This window comes from Homo sapiens, chromosome 11, assembly GCF_000001405.40.
Source record: "Homo sapiens chromosome 11, GRCh38.p14 Primary Assembly".
Taxonomy (NCBI): Eukaryota; Metazoa; Chordata; class Mammalia; order Primates; family Hominidae; genus Homo; species Homo sapiens.
In genome coordinates this window covers 62,906,238-62,922,802 of record NC_000011.10, presented here as the reverse complement: position 1 = coordinate 62,922,802, position 16,565 = coordinate 62,906,238, and the positions used below count along the sequence as shown (strand labels likewise).

At 53.6% G+C, this 16,565-nt stretch overlaps 1 protein-coding gene and 2 long non-coding RNA genes across 4 annotated transcripts in view, besides 1 other annotated feature; 1 reads left to right on the top strand and 2 right to left on the bottom strand.

Moving 5' to 3' along the window:
• The window catches only part of LOC105369333 (uncharacterized), a 36,169-nt gene extending 33,526 nt beyond the window's left edge, over positions 1–2,643 (bottom strand). The window contains exon 1 of the long non-coding RNA XR_002957251.2: positions 2,362–2,643. This is a non-coding gene — a long non-coding RNA (uncharacterized LOC105369333). The remainder of the gene's footprint in view (positions 1–2,361) is intronic.
• Positions 582–1,116: an enhancer, noted in NCBI's record as "H3K4me1 hESC enhancer chr11:62689159-62689693 (GRCh37/hg19 assembly coordinates)". NCBI's record gives its function as "activates a minimal SCP1, AML or CMV promoter by ChIP-STARR-seq in naive H9 embryonic stem cells {active_cell/tissue: H9 hESC(naive)}" and the evidence as "EXISTENCE:reporter gene assay evidence [ECO:0000049][PMID:30033119]".
• On the top strand, positions 925–14,124 carry CHRM1 (cholinergic receptor muscarinic 1). 2 transcript variants are annotated; one of them, XM_011544742.3, is made up of 2 exons: positions 925–965; positions 11,625–14,124. In XM_011544742.3, exon 2 carries the CDS (start codon positions 11,703–11,705, stop codon positions 13,083–13,085), a length of 1,383 nt encoding a protein of 460 aa, XP_011543044.1. In that variant the 5' UTR covers positions 925–965; positions 11,625–11,702; the 3' UTR covers positions 13,086–14,124. The 2 variants fall into 2 exon arrangements, with proteins under 2 accessions (XP_011543044.1, NP_000729.2); NM_000738.3 differs by lacking the exon at positions 925–965 and adding an exon at positions 1,440–1,585.
• On the bottom strand, positions 4,442–13,396 carry CHRM1-AS1 (CHRM1 antisense RNA 1). Its single transcript, NR_199052.1, has 3 exons — positions 13,188–13,396; positions 11,958–12,200; positions 4,442–4,877 (listed from the first exon to the last, which is right to left on the bottom strand). It is a non-coding gene; the product is annotated as a CHRM1 antisense RNA 1 (long non-coding RNA).
• Positions 14,125–16,565: the final 2,441 nt, after the last annotated feature.

Below are 16,565 nucleotides of genomic sequence, written 5' to 3'. Positions count from 1 at the left end.
CTCCAGAGCCCTGGGCTTAGAGCCAAGTGACCTGAGCCCAAACACCTGCCCACCACATGCTAATCATACCTCTGCTCTTCAGATTTCTCACCTACAAAATGGGGATAATTGATGCTCCCATTCCTTCCCACCTCTCACCCCAAGACTTCGACACAGCCCAGTGGGCAAAGAACACAGCAGCCCCAGAAGGCAGTCCCTGCAGCCTCCAACTCTCCTCCCCAGTCAGCTCCCGGGGAGGTCTCTAGGGCCAAACAGAGGCGGTGCAGGACCCACATCTCTAGGGCAAACGGCCCCCCAGGGGTTCTATCTCTGAGGAAGCTCAACACAGAAGTCCAGACCAGCCTGGCAGGGAGGGATGCTGGCCTCACCCAGTAGGGCTGAGGGAGATTGGGAGGAGGGCTCATCTCCTCCCAGGTACACACCTGTGAGCCCTGAGTGGGAGTCAGGGGAGACAGAGCTTGACAAGCTGGGAGGAGAGCTGTCTGTCTGCCTGTCTGTCTTCCAAGTGGAAGCTTGGGGTGGAGCAGGCAGGTAGAGGCTGCCTCACTTGTCAGAATTAGCAAGTTCCACAGTTGGGCAACACTCAGCCACACATCAGATACAGACACACGTGTGCACACGCGTCCTGCCTCCAGACTGATAGGGTCACACCTGCACTTACACAGGCTGCATGGTGACATGAGTACACAGGGACACACATATGCAAGGCACTCAGCCGCACATGGGGCAGGCACCTGGCCCTCTACTCATCCCCGAAAAGCAGACACCCATATACCCTCACAACAGGCTATGCATAGCCCAATGCTAGCGCACACAGCCCAGCATGCGGGCACGTTCACTCAGCCCCCGGGCGGGTGCGCCAGCCCTCTGGGTCTGTTCCAAGTTGGAGCCTCTCACGTGAGGCCCAATGTGTCATTTCCAAACAGAAGGAATCTAGCTCTCTCACAGCAGGGAGGAAGAGCAGGGTGTGTAGTTGGGTGGGTGGGTGCGTGGGCATGTGCAGGGGGGAGGGCGTGTGTGCGAGGGAAGCAGGCATGTGAATACCAGGGCATGTGTGTTGGGGCATGGTGCACAGGGGCTGGGGGCTCTAAGGTTGGGTGGGGGGAGGAGCCCAAGGAAACAGTGTGCCTTTGTGAGGGTGTGTGTGCCGCCGGGTCTGTGCAGTGGGTGTGGGTGTTTGTCTCCCTGTATCCGCCTTCTCTCCCGTCCGGGACTTTTAGCCTTCCTGGGCTCGCCTTCCTCATGTCCTTTCTCCTCCCTCTTGGGGCTCAAATTGGGTGCCCTGGTGAAGGAGGGGGGCACACTCCAGAACCTAGTCCAACCCCAGACGCTGCCTGAGGCTTCCCTCCAGCTCCCCTCCCTTCCTTTTCTCCCTTTCCTCCCTCCCTCTCTTTCCCTTTCTCCCTCCCCGCTAAGGCTGGCGTGCCAGGGGGTGGGACATGCCAATCACTGGCTGTGCCTCTCCCGCTGCCAGCACAGGGCGCAGCTCCCCCTGGGAGCCAGGTGTTTGGGTCCCTGGAGACGCCGCAGGCCCCCAGGGAGGCAGTGGGGCTGAGGACCCTACAGACCCCTCTTCAGCCCCGTGGTGAGTACATTTGGGAGGGCTTGGGAGGGGCTGCACTAAGGTAGAGGGTAGGAGGGTCCTGGGGAGCGGGGGAGGGCAGGGATCAGGATGAGATGGAAATAGGGATGGACTCACAGAGATAGGAGGAGGCCAGGGAGGGGTCTAGAGGGCAAGGGGGCTCTGTAGCATTGAACACTGACTGCTCCAAACACTCGGCCTCCTGGCTTTGAGTGGATATAGCTGATGTTTTTCTGGGCTTCTGCTGGCAGAGGAGATGGAGATCCCCCTCAGGAAACTGGACCTGAGGCCCAGAAGGGATTAGGCTGCCTGGTAGCAAGCAGAACCCCCAACACCCTAGGGGCAGAGTGGGAAGGGCAAAGGGCCAGGAAGCAGCCCTTGCCACCAGCATCCTGTGGGAGGTTGACCCCCATCTTGATGGGGGTGCCAGTCCCAGAACCTCCTGTCCTCCCTCAGGGCACCCTGAAACCCACCACCCCCGTCCACCTCAGCTCCCCCAAGATGGACTGAATCAGGCTGCTGGCCAGATAGAGAAGCTAGAAGCCAAGGTGGGTGTCAGGCCAGAAGCCAGCAGGAGACCAGGCAAAGAGCCCCAGGGCTCTTTGGGGACAAATGGGCATGTGGGTGGCCACACTAGCCAGGGAAGGTGGCCCTGACGTGCGCAGGGGCCCAGAGGACCCTCCTTATGTTTCTAGTATCTTGGGCTCCCGCAGGGTGGGTCTCAGTCCTATATCCAGGCAATGCATGGATACCAATGGGCACCCACGCCAGGTACTCACCCCAGTGCCCGCAGACTGCACAACATGGGGATGGGCTAGGGGCCAGGAACTCTGATGCTTGTAGAGTTGTCAGCTCCTGGGCAGGCCAGCTGGGGAGGGGGTCGTCAGCTCTCATTAGGTCATCCAGACATGTGCAGCTTAGAGGTTATCAGAGCCAATGGAGAGGGGTTCACATCTTTGCACAAAACACACCTGCAGCTCCACCCAGACTGACCCAAGACCCCTGCCCAACTGGCTGGAAGGAGTCAGGCAGTCTCCAGTAGCCAGACAGTCTCCTTTCTCAGGGTAATCAGCTGTTCAGTGGGCTGTCAGATGAGAGTTCTCTGCCCTCTGACCTCAGCCACCAGGCAAGCTGCAGTCGCTATCGCGGCTGAGATATGAAAGGGAAGGAGATAGTGAAATGGGCTGCAGAAGATGTGGGTCTTGGCTCGCAGCTGACAGCTGGCGGTTGGAGTTCTGAGAACTGGATTCTGAAGTGTAATGGGGAGTCCAAAGTGTCAAGAAGGGGCTAACCAGAGGTCATGTCAGACCTAGAAAGGAGGCTTTCTATTGTATGGAGGGACTGAGGCTGAGAAAGGGAAAGGGACATGCTCATGGTCGGAGAAGGGATATGTAGGGATCCAGCTGGGGCTCGGACCCCTTCTCCGCATCCTCAGCACAACACTGCGCTGCCGCCTCCATGAGCAGGAAGATGGGGTGGGAGAGCAGGGGGCGCAGTAAGCTCTGAGACGCAGAAGCTTGGGCTCCCAGCAGGCGGGGAGAGGTGGGTGAATTGCGCTGGGTTTCTGCTCTGCTGTGGTGCCATGGTGATGCCTACAAGGATGGAGGAGGGAGGGAGAGAGAAGAAAGGAAATGAGGAGGAGAGTGCAAGGAGCCAGGAGCAGGGGGCTTGCGGAGAGGAGGATGAGGGACCCAGAACCTCTGATGCCACACTGGCAGAGTGAGGTCTAGGGTCCAGCTGCTCATGCCCAGGCTCTGTCATGGTCTGGCCAAAGTCAGGCAACTGCTTAAGATCCATCATGGGTGAGCAAATTTGGCAGTGATTCTAGGGCTGATGCTTCTCTTCCAGCTAAGCAGTGTGTTTCATGTAGCATTTAACTGATGGCTGCTGCCCTCCACAAGACTAGTTGGCCCTCCCAATGGCAACTGTTGAGCCTTAAAAATGTGATAAATTCTGTTTACTCCCTCATTCTCAAAGCCAGACATCAGGGGTGGAAGTTTTGTGCACCTTAATGGGTCAAGAGCTGCTGTCAAAGAAAAGTTAACCCCGAGGGGAGAGCTGCCTCGTATGGGCTGGCTTCTGGGGTCAGGCCCTAGCAGAAGGGATCAGTGAGTAGACCTGGCCAGAAGGAGCGCCCTCCTCATTGCATATGTGAGGCCTCAGGTGCCCAACCCCACAGCCCCCTCCACATACCTCCCACTCCCCAATGTTATCCCCTCTTCCTAACCAGGACTCTACCAGCTTCCAGGCCCAGAATCACAAGATGGCTCCGCTCCTCCCTCCTAAATATCTTCCCCAGCATCCCCTCATTCCCTCCCTCCCCTTCTGTACTCTTTGGCCAGCGGTACGTTCAGAAAAGCCTGGTGTTCAGGAATCCCTCTCCCCATTTCCCTTTCCCTGCCTCCCCCAGTGGTTCTCTCCACTCCCAGTTGCTCTCACAAGCCAGATCCCCAGCCCCTAGGGATTGGTCCTGGGCGCTGGGAGTCAACAGTCTGGCCTGCTGTAATAAAGGCTCTGACCTCATCCCTTAACCCTTTGAGCCCAGGCTAACATTCTCCTCTCCCCAGTGACAAATGCTTTGGCACGTCCATGTCTGTCCTGGCACCTCACTTAGCTTCCCTGCAGCCGGGTGAGGCAGGGTTTCCTTGGTCCACTTTACAGACAAGGATGCTCTTGGCTGTTTTTCTCCTATGCTCTCCAGCCAGGCAGGGCCTCACTCAGGGAAGCAGGGACCTGGCAGATGAGATGTGGGAGCTCAAGGGAGAAGAGGGGCCTCTGGACCATGCTCTGGACCTGGTCCTGACCCCCACAGGTTCACCCTCAGGCTCCAGGGTCTGAAGTTGAGTACACACACGTACATTTATTCCACAGGTATTTATTGAGCAACTACTATCTGCCAAGCCCTGGGATAAAGCATTGAATGAGACAGACGCAGCCCTTACCCTGCCCTTTAAAGAGCTCCAGTAGACCCACCCTCTTCCCACAGCACTGTTATCACACATCACACAGATATACGACAGACACTGCCGCGCACACAAAGGAGGCCAGATTCTGAAAGAAGGACCGATTGCTCATCGTTAACTGATTCAAAGTTGGGCTTGAGTAAGCTAGCTGAGGTGGGCAAGGAGGCTGGCAAACCCCCGCAACCCCTCAAGGGCAGGAGTAGGGTTCAAGAGGTTGGTCTCGGAGGCAGACGGCCTGGATCCAAATCCTGGTTGCATCGCTGATGAGCTGTAAGGTCCTTCAGGTCTTGAAGCCTCAGGTTAGGCCTTTTGCAAACTGGGGATAGCAGGACCTACTTCACAAGGAGTTGTAACAGGTAGATTAGATCGAGTTTATAATGTTTATGTATATAATGCTTAGAGCCATGTCTGGTATATAGTATGCAGCCAGTAAATACCAGTTACTATAATATGAGTAATTTTTCTTTGCTGCTATTATGTGTAAGGAGTATTAGTGATAGTATTAAAGCCTTCTAACAGCCTTCATCAGGAGGCCACAGTCCTGGAGAGAAGCCCCTCCTTGCTTCCTCACTATCTTCCTGAACTCCAGGTGAAACACCCTCTGAGGATGAGTCCCCACAAAGCTATGGACCCACCTCCACCATTCCCAGCCTTGCTCAGCAATGCATATACCCTCACACACAAACACTCATCCTAGGAGTTCACCCCATTCCACAGAAGGGCCACCAGGTCAGGACGGTCATTTACCCAAGGTCACATAGCAAGACAAGAGCTGGCAGCTAGGCAGAGGCAGTGCCAAGGACTGCCTCGGGGGGTCTTCCTGCTGCCCACTGCAATCCCCATTGACAAACTCACTGCATATGTGAGCCCCAGCCCCCATGGATGCCTTCACAGGACGTGCCCTGCAAATGCAGCTTCAAGCCCCCTTTTCAACCAGCTGGCTGTCCTAAGTCCCTCCTTCTTTAGGGATTCTAGAGCTACCACTGAACCCCATACCCTAATCCTCAGCCTAGGGCTGGTCTCCCCAGGGGAATCTGCCACAATCATGGGAAACCAGATTCTTTCACAGCCACCATCTCACTGATCCCACAGGAACCTTGGACAGGTAGAAGACTGCCCCACATCGACAGTTAAGGAGACTTGGACAAGGTCACACAGAAGGGACTAGAGCACGTCTCCAGGAATCTTCTCCTGAGCTCTTTCTCTGTCCAAGAGAGGGCTGGGGGTGAGGACCTCTGCTTCTGATATAGAGGAAAGGCAGTCATTCATTGATGGGTCTGTTCTTGTACTGCGTCATAGGGGGCAGAAGATCTAGACGGTGGCAAGAATCAGGTTCCAATTCTCTGGAACCTCTGGTGACTTCTCTACCTGCCACCTGCCCCAGGTGAGAGGCCTTAGCCCTCATCCGCGTAAGTGGGGCAGAGGGGTTTTGCTGAGGTGGAAAGAACACAGGCTTGGAGCCCACAGGTCCGGGTCAGAATCCCACCTCCACCACTGCTGTGGGACCATCAGAAATCTACTTTGCACCCTGAGCCTCAATGCCCTTACCTATAATATAAAGATAGAGCCCCCCATGGGATGTCCACTGAGGTGTCCTGTGATTAAGGGAAAGAATATATATTAAGTGCCTGCCATCCAGGAGGCATTAATTATGGTGGTTAGCAATACGACTATTAAAATGGGAGATTTGGAAGGAATTTCCAGACATCAAGGCAAGGGACTGCCGGCTTCCTCACCTCCAAGGACCCCTCTAGGAGAGGTCCTCACCTCCAAGGACTCCTTGAGTTACTTCTTCTCACAAGTCCCCTGTTCTGAAAGCATTTTTTAATTCACCAAAGTTATAGCTAGCCTTGTGATGGGCACCGTATTCGCAATCTGAGTTGATGACATTTCCAGCCCCAAGTGAGATAATGTAAGTTGAGCCTTCAGCCTTGCCTCAGGGACTTGGGTTCTTTCTGTTCAGCACCTTGAGATGTTGGCTTCCGGACTTAGTAAAATCTCCCCAGACACCAGGCTTGTCCAACTCCTCCATTGCAAATGAGCAAACTGGGAGGCAGAGTAGGGTCGTGCCTGGGGTCTGGAGGGGAAGCGGCATGGTGGGAAGAGGCTGGGCACTGGATCAGGAGAAGGAGTGGAGAATAACAACAGGGCCGGGTGCTGTGGCTCATGCCTATAATCCCAGTACTTTGGGAGGCCGAGGCAGGTGGATCACCTGAGGTCAGGAGTTCGAGACCAGCCTTGCCAACATGGTGAAACCCTGTCTCTCCTAAAAATACAAAAATTAGCTGAGTGTAGTGGCAGGAGCCTATAATCCCAGCTACTCGGGAGGCTGAGGCAGGAGGATCGCTTGAATCCAGAAGGCAGAGGTTGCAGTGAGCTGAAATCACATCACTACACTCCAGCCTGGGTGACAGAGTGAGAGTCCATCTCAAAATAATAATAATAATAATAATAACAATAAGGCTTTAACTTTTTAACTGAGTGTCTGTTTCAGTGCCAGGCACTCTGAACGGTATCATCCTCACAGCTGGGGATGAGGGCAGCAGGGGAATGAAAGGTCGACTGGTTACTGATGGTCACACAGCAAGGAAGGCTCAGCGCCAAGCTTCAAACCCAAGACTGGGAACTACAAGGCCAGGACTAGGGTGAATCAAGCAAGGCACTCGCTTCAGAGCAAAATTTAAGAGGGGGACGTAAAAATACTCACTAAACAAGAGAAATAATATCATAATAATATTTTTTTAAATCAAATAGCAAATTCCAGCCCACAGGCTGGCTGTCTGTCTTTGTAACTAAAGTTTTATTGGAACCAGGGTCAGGATTAGGGTGAGGTGAGTGAGAAAGGGCTGTGCAAGTGCAGGGTGGACCCTGTCTTTATTTAACATGTTGTTCATCTTGGATTTTTTTGCATTAACTTCCATTTTTGTAAATATTACATTAAAATATTTTCTTGAAGACTAAGTTTTGGGGCACCCCATACATTTCGCATTGGAGGCAAGTGCCTGATTTTCACCTTACCCTAGTCCTAGCCTGCTGAGGTATAAGGAGTCAAGCTTTTTTTTTTTTTTTTTTTTTTTTTTTTTGAGACAGGGTCTCACTCTGTCACCCAGGCTGGAGTGCAGTGGCGTGATCGCGGCTCACTGCAACCTCTGCCTCCTGGGCTCAAGTGATCCTCCTGCCTCAGCCTCCCAAGTAGCTGGGACCATAGGTGCCCGCCACCATGCCTGGCTAATTTTTATATTTTTAGTAGAGACAGGGTTTCACCAAGTTGCTGAGGCTGGTCTTGAACTCATGAGCTCATGTGATCCGTCTGCCTCAACCTCCCAGAGTGCTAGGATTACAGGCGTGAGCCACCACGCCAGGCCTAAGGAGTCAAGCTTTAAAGGCTGCACCATGCCCAGGCAGATGAGAGGCCCCTGCAGCAGGGCAGGGTGCAGCCTCTCAGGCTAGCAACCTCCTCTTGTCTAACTCAGCCTTTGCAGGTCTTTGCCAAGGGCCCAGGGATACAGAGCTGATCCAAACTACCAGGAGAGTATGGCATGGGGGGCAGTACCCAATCTAGGAGCCAGGAGACCTTGGACTAGACAATGCCTTCTACTCCCTTTTCTCTGGGCCTCAGCTGCTCCCTGTGAGCGATGGGCATTAAATAGCACTAAGCTCAGAAGATGACAGTGACAAGAATTGCACAAATTCTCAAGGGTAGTGTCTACCAGTGGCCTCACTGGGGAAAGCCCCAGCCTAATCCCAGCCTCCAGCCCAGTGGCTGATTTTGTTTAAGGGAAAGGGTACAGCAAAACTCAGTAATCAAGACAAATCATATTTTAATGTAATATTTTTAGAATTCGAATTAGCAAACTATGATCCCCAGGCTGGCCTTCGGTTTTTGTAAATGAAATTTCACTGGAACAAACTGCTTGGGCTCAAATCCTAGTTCCTACCTTCCTTGCATGATCTCGTACAAATTCCCTTGCTTTTCTCAGTCTCAGCTTCCTTATCTATAAAATGGAGACAATAGGCCAGGCGCGGTGGCTCACGCCTGTAATCCCAGCACTTTGGGAGCCCGAGGCAGGCAGATCACAAGGTCAGGAGATCAAGACCATCCTGGCTAACACTGTGAAACCCCGTCTCTACTAAAAATACAAAAATTTAGCCGGGCGTGGTGGTGGCAGGCGCCTGTAGTCCCAGCTACTCAGGAGGCTGAGGCAGGAGAATGGTGTGAACCCGGAGGCGGAGGTTGCAGTGAGCCGAGATTGTGCCACTGCACTCCAGCCTGGGTGACACAGCGAGACTCCATCTCAAAAAAAAAAAAGAAAAAGAAAATGGAGACAATAGCTGCAGTGAGCCGAGATCGCGCAACTGCACTCCAGCCTGTATGACAGAGCGAGACTCCATCTCAAAAAAAAAAAATGGAGACAACAGCCATCCCTTGATCCTAGGCTCCTGTTAAGATTAAATAAGATTATGCATATAAACCCTTTAACAGCAACTGGCACTCAGGGAGCTCTCAATAACAACAATGAGCATTATTATTACTAGTTGCTATTGTCATAGTATCAGACATTTCTTTTCTTTTTTTTTTTTTTTTTGAGACAGAGTTTCACTCTTGTTGCCCAGGCTGGAGTGCAATGGCACAATCTTGGCTCACCACAACCTCTGCTTCCTGGGTTCAAGCAATTCTCCTGCCTCAGCCTCCAGAGTAGCTAGGGTTACAGCCATGTACCACCACCCCTGGCTAATTTTGTATTTTTAGTAGAGACAGAGTTTCACTATGTTGGCCAGGCTAGTCTTGAACTCCCGACCTCAGGTGATCCACCCGCCTCGGTCTCCCAAAGTGCTGGGATTACAGGCGTGAGCCACCGCACCCGGCCAAGAGGTAGACATTTCTAGGCAGCCTAGCACCCTCATTGCTACACATCCTGAGAGTTAAAGGAGACCTACTGTTTACCATGTGCCAGGGCCATTCTAAGCACCTTACATGCATTGATTCATTTAATCCTCATCACCTGAAAAGAGGTGACAGTCTTGCTAATGGGTATTATCCCATTTTTCAATTAAGGAAACCTAGGCATATAGAAGTTATATCACTAGCAATAATCACACATCCAGTGAACAGGATAGACTAGATTCAAATCCAGATAGTCTGGCTCCAGAGTCCAGGTTGCACATGCCCCCTCATGTGCAAACTGTCCCAGACACACAAGCACACACTGCCAGCCACAGTCCTTGCTCATTCTGTCCCCCACTGAACTCGCCACGCTGTCAGTGACTTGTACACACTGAGGGTTCACGGCAAACCATGGAGATGCCCTCAGCCACAAACCACCCAGGCCACCTATCACAGCAGCCTGTCACAGGCCAGGTGCCCAAGGAACACCAGGGCTCAGTGGGCCCTTGCCTAACATCTCTCCCTTGGAATTTTCCCAACAATATAGCCCCTGGAGGCCACAGCTGAGGGTCAGGGGACCCTCAACCTCTTCAATGGTCAGATGGATGCCTGAGGCCCAGAGCAGGAAGGGACCCACCAAATCACATGGCAGCAAGCCCCTGGCTGAGCTGCCTGGACCTTTACCCTTCCATCTGGCTTCACTGTGGCTGTGGGGGCCTCCTGCCCAGCCAGCAGGTTGTTAAGGGCCCCGGCCTTTCTCTTTACCCAGGCTTAGTGCCTGGAGCAGATTCCAGATCCAAGAAAAGTCTGGGGGATCTTCCCATTTCCCTTGCTTCTCCTCACTCAGCTGGGGCCCAGGAACAGAGCCAGGAGAGGGAGGGAAGCCTCCCACACCCCATGGGCCCAGACCCCCACTGAGCTAGGAGCTGAGGCCCTCATCCCTGCTTCCTGCTTTTGCCCCAGACCTTCTTTTTTTTTTCCTTTTGGTTTTTTTTTTTTTTTTTTGAGATGGAGTCTTGCTCTGTTGCCCAGGCTGGAGTGCAGTGGCACAGTCTTGACTCACTGCAACCTCCGCCTCCCAGGTTCAAACGATTCTCCTGCCTCAGTCTCCCAAGTAGCTGGGGCTACAGATGCGTGCCACCACGCCCGGCTAATTTTTTGTATTTTTAGTAGAGATGGGGTTTCACCATGTTAGCCAGGATGGTCTCGATCTCCTGACCTCATGATCCGCCTGCCTCTGCCTCCCAAAGTGCTGGGATTACAGGTGTGAGCCACCACGCCGGCCTGCCCCAGACCTTCTTACTAGCAACTGAGTGTCTGAGTCCAGCACAATTTTCCCTGCTGCCCTCATAGAGAATTCAATTCAGCCCCAAATACCACCCCCTACATACGTATGTAAACCCGCATGCGCAGAAAAACGTGCAGAAAAAAATACATGCACGCACACACCCCTAAGGCCCCTCTGTTCCCATCTCTCTCTGTTTATCTTCTCAGGAACTCCCCTTTCTTCCCATCTCTCCTTATTAGTGGAAGAATCCCACTGGAGCACCACATACCCGGGGAGAGTGAGAATGGCTTCTTTTCTTTCTTTCCTGTTTTAGGACACATTTCTGTTCTTGCGGGTTCTTATCATACTTACTATCTCTGTCACCATGGCCAAGGCTTGCAGCTGCTCAGAGCCACAGTTCCCTCACAGTGAGATGGGCATAATAAGAGCCCTTTCTCCTAGAGACGTACAGCAGTTAAATTAGATAATTCATTTAGGTGGTTAGTACTGTGTCTGGCATGCAGTGACTACTCAGTAAGTGAGGGCTTTAATAAAGTTGAGTGAAATGCTTTGAGAATTTGGCAGGACTGTATACAAAGTGAGTTTCCCAACTCCTGCAACCCGAGTTATGTAAGATAGGAATTTGTAGTAATTTCCCAGTAAGAAAATGGAGGCCTGGAGTCTGAAAGGTAAAACTGGAATGAAGATTCAAATCCCTGGATCCCAAAGCCACTCCACGCTGCTGGCAAATCCACTTATGGCTGGGAAAGTGCATGATAAATGACCATGAGTGGGCACCGGTAAGGGAGGGTGATGCTATCTGGTCTGAAGCTCTGCAAGGGCAAGAATTACATCCCTAGCATCTTCCAATAAGGTCTATCAGAAATGTCCAGTGGCCCAACCAAAGCCCATGTCCTCTCTTTTCAGGTGATGACTTTCCCCTGAGGAAGCCCTGTAGCGTGCCTGGAGGAAGGGGCTCTCCAACCCCAGCCCCACCTAGCCACCATGAACACTTCAGCCCCACCTGCTGTCAGCCCCAACATCACCGTCCTGGCACCAGGAAAGGGTCCCTGGCAAGTGGCCTTCATTGGGATCACCACGGGCCTCCTGTCGCTAGCCACAGTGACAGGCAACCTGCTGGTACTCATCTCTTTCAAGGTCAACACGGAGCTCAAGACAGTCAATAACTACTTCCTGCTGAGCCTGGCCTGTGCTGACCTCATCATCGGTACCTTCTCCATGAACCTCTATACCACGTACCTGCTCATGGGCCACTGGGCTCTGGGCACGCTGGCTTGTGACCTCTGGCTGGCCCTGGACTATGTGGCCAGCAATGCCTCCGTCATGAATCTGCTGCTCATCAGCTTTGACCGCTACTTCTCCGTGACTCGGCCCCTGAGCTACCGTGCCAAGCGCACACCCCGCCGGGCAGCTCTGATGATCGGCCTGGCCTGGCTGGTTTCCTTTGTGCTCTGGGCCCCAGCCATCCTCTTCTGGCAGTACCTGGTAGGGGAGCGGACAGTGCTAGCTGGGCAGTGCTACATCCAGTTCCTCTCCCAGCCCATCATCACCTTTGGCACAGCCATGGCTGCCTTCTACCTCCCTGTCACAGTCATGTGCACGCTCTACTGGCGCATCTACCGGGAGACAGAGAACCGAGCACGGGAGCTGGCAGCCCTTCAGGGCTCCGAGACGCCAGGCAAAGGGGGTGGCAGCAGCAGCAGCTCAGAGAGGTCTCAGCCAGGGGCTGAGGGCTCACCAGAGACTCCTCCAGGCCGCTGCTGTCGCTGCTGCCGGGCCCCCAGGCTGCTGCAGGCCTACAGCTGGAAGGAAGAAGAGGAAGAGGACGAAGGCTCCATGGAGTCCCTCACATCCTCAGAGGGAGAGGAGCCTGGCTCCGAAGTGGTGATCAAGATGCCAATGGTGGACCCCGAGGCACAGGCCCCCACCAAGCAGCCCCCACGGAGCTCCCCAAATACAGTCAAGAGGCCGACTAAGAAAGGGCGTGATCGAGCTGGCAAGGGCCAGAAGCCCCGTGGAAAGGAGCAGCTGGCCAAGCGGAAGACCTTCTCGCTGGTCAAGGAGAAGAAGGCGGCTCGGACCCTGAGTGCCATCCTCCTGGCCTTCATCCTCACCTGGACACCGTACAACATCATGGTGCTGGTGTCCACCTTCTGCAAGGACTGTGTTCCCGAGACCCTGTGGGAGCTGGGCTACTGGCTGTGCTACGTCAACAGCACCATCAACCCCATGTGCTACGCACTCTGCAACAAAGCCTTCCGGGACACCTTTCGCCTGCTGCTGCTTTGCCGCTGGGACAAGAGACGCTGGCGCAAGATCCCCAAGCGCCCTGGCTCCGTGCACCGCACTCCCTCCCGCCAATGCTGATAGTCCCCTCTCCTGCATCCCTCCACCCCAGTCCCCGGGAAAGGCCGGTGGGAAGAGGGCAGGGGCTGCATCCTCAGCCCCAGGGCCCTGCTCAGGCCTCACCTGGCTTCCCAGGACCCTGGGTCACCTTCCTGGGCAGCCCAGAGAGACCCTGCCAACTTTCCAGACTTCGCTATTCCCAGGCAGGGAGGGAAACCCGGGGAACTGGTTTTTCTGTTCCCTGCTGGGTGGGAATGCGCTCTTCACCAGGAAGAAGGCCCGGGAGGAGGATCCGGGCTTTGGACTCCTTGTTTGCCTTTAGGCAGGAAGTCAGGAGCCAGCAGGGCGGGCCAGGAGAAAGAAGGCTTAACATTAAGTATTCCTTGGCCCAGCAGCGGCCCAGATTGCGGTGTGAGATGGTGCCCCCTGGGGGGCACAGCCAGAAACTGAACTGGCCGCTGGGAGAAAAGCCAGATGACAGGGAGCTGGGGAATCCCCTCGCTTCATAGGCAGAGCCCGCCCACCTGGGCCCTAGGCATACTCTCCAGGATTGTCCACAAATGTCCTCAGAGGGTCCCTAGGTGGGTCAACTCCAAGGCAAATGTCCAAGCATCAGCAAGACAATGACACTGGAAGGGTCCGGCTTGGCTAGTCACATATCAAGTCCCGAGGCAGCAACAGGACCAGGAGCCAGGTGTCCTGACTGTCCTACAATATCATTTTCCTGGGAGTGGGAGTCAAGTGTGCCTGCTATCCAGCCGCAAATCCATACCCCCTGCCCCAGAGAAGCCTCAGTCCCTCCCTCCTGGCTCACAGCCACCACCTGGATGGATCTGCTCCATGCAGATCTAGCCAGGCCTCCCGCATGCTGCCTGCCTCCGGCCCTGCCCCACACAGGCCTGGCCCAGCCAGCAGGTTCTCTCCTGTGAGCTCCCCAATCCAACCCATGCATGGCCTCCCAGCCACCCGGATCTCCAGGCCCAGCCTGGCCCCAAATGTTCTTTCCTTTCATCCTCAGCAAGTGCTGAGTCTGTGAATAAAGCCACATAACCAGCGGGCACTAAGGGGCCTTCCTAACTGTGTTGGCTCAAGGCCTTGGTCTCAGGCCAGGGCTGAATGGGGCAGGGAGGGCCCAAGTACTTTGGAATGTGGGCCGTGGCCGTGAAAGTGGTTCTAGGAGGGCCAGCACTGCATGGTTGGATCTACTAAAGCCTGGGGACCCCAGCACCGTGGAGTCCCTGGCTCAGGTGAGTGGGGCTATAAAAGGCAGACCTGACCTCTGGAAGTGAGGCAGCTAGGTGAAATAAACCAACCCTGCCCACATCCCTGCATATTCTCTATTGGCTCTGCCATACCCGGGGAGAACAGAACTCTTCCAAACCCCCATTTACACATGAGGAGATAAGGCCCAGAGATCCAGGAGGATTGTTCAGGGTTACCCCACAGAGCAACACCCAGACTTCCAGGCAATTCATAACCTCCTGACCTCTGGACTGAGTAGATGACAGCCTAAAGTATTTAGGCCAAAACACTCCATCAGGATGACCCTCAGGTCAGGTTATAAGGCACTTCTTTGGTGAAGGGTCCCCAAAGCCCAACGCAAAGGAATTCTAGAGAGGTTAATCCCGTAGCCTGGAGTAGTGGTTTCCAAGACGATCATTGGGTTCAGTGATTTGCTAGAATGATGCATAGAACTCAGCAAAGTTATTATCCTCACAGTTTATTACAGTGAAAGAACATAGAGCATAAAACAGCAACAGCAAAAGGTGCACAGAGCAGAGACCAGGAGAGACCAGATACAAACTTCCAGCTGTCCTCTCCCAGTGGAGTCGTGCAGACAGTGCCCAATCTTCCAAGCAATGATGTATGACAAAAAAAAATGAAGTACTGCCAACCAAGAAAGCTCACCAGAGCTTTGGTGTCCAATGTTCTTACTGGAGGCTGATCGTGTAAGCATAGCTGACCACCCACATGGCTGACCTTACTTAGTCTCCAGCCCTTCCAGAAGTTAAACTGATACCATGTGGCCCAAGGAGCAAAGGTAAGCAAAAACACTTACCAGGCAGGATATTCCAAGGGTTTAGTGTTATCTTCCAGGAGCCAGGCAAGGCCAAACCTTTCTTTGAAATGTGCAAATGTGCAGGATTCGGATAATCCAGACTTGCTGAGTGAATCTTTCAGTTCACAGTGGTTCTGACCAGTAGCCCCAGTATCACCTGGGAACTTGTTAGCTATGAGAATTCTCAGGGTCCTCCTAGATTTACTAAATCAGAAACTCTGTGGAACTCGCCACCTATTTTTAACAAGCCCTCTAGGTGTTCTGATGCAGGGTAAAGTTTGAGAATCATTGGCCTAGAGGGATGAGGTCCTGGGTGGAGCTAAGCCCTTGCAGAGAGAGGAGTGGAGATTCAGCCCCCTTATAGCCGTTGGGACTCCCAGAAGCCTTTGGAAGAAAGCTTCCAACACGATAGGAAATGGTATCCATTGAAGATCTAAACAGGATAGGCTAGCCAGGAACTACAGCACTGTGAGAATGACCCTGCTGTTTGGACCTTCCTGTTTGGAAGGATCCAAACCCCATATCCCCTTCCCACCAGCACAGCTTACGGGGTTGTGAGCTCAAGTTCCTAAGAGGGCCCCTCCCTTACCACTGCTCCCTCACAGCCCTAAGGCCCCTTTAAGGCTAAATGCCCTGCCCCATGTTAAAGGCGTTGAAACTGAGGTCCTGGGAGGCAGAAGGACTGAGCAAGCTGAGCAGTGCTGGGAGAATAGGAACTTTGGGGCCAGATTAACCTGGTCTCTACTGAAGGCCAGAAGTGGAGGGGGTAAATCTGGTATTCACATCAGGAATGGAGCTAGCAGTTCACACTTGTCCCTTGTCCCAGATGCAGGTCTGACCTGCCATGTCCCTCACTGAACAACCTTAGGCATGTCTCTTCTCAGTGTCTTCATCTCTGAAACGGGAACAAGCCCTTTGCAGAAGTGTTAGGAGGATGAGAGAGATTGTAGGGAAATGCCCTCAATGGCTCTATGATCAGTGTTACCACGGGACAGGGCTGCTCACCGGTAAATGCCAGAAACCAGGACTAGTTTCAGACCCAGCTCTGACCCTACACCTCCAGCCTGAGCTTTGAAAAGCCCATGCCCCCAATCCAGGGAGAAGAAACTTAAATCCCATCATGGCTTGGTTAAAGCAGTTTGGGGGAACAAGTTTCGGCGGGAAAGGGTGTGTGCATTCCAGGAAGGCTTCCCGGAGATGGGGTCTGTGCCCTCAGTCCTCTGAAGCTAGATTCCTGCAGGCCCAGCTGCCAGAGAATTGGGGAAATGGGATAAACCCAAAGAGAGAGGGTGGCTGGACATGGCAACTGTCCACCCCAAACACTCCACCACTGCCCCGTTCTGAGAGTCTTTCTTGGCCCCAGAAACAAGGGCGACTACACGCCTGAGCTGGAAATAGGGAAAGAATGAAGCGGCTTTTTGAATGCTGTCTTCCCCTCTACT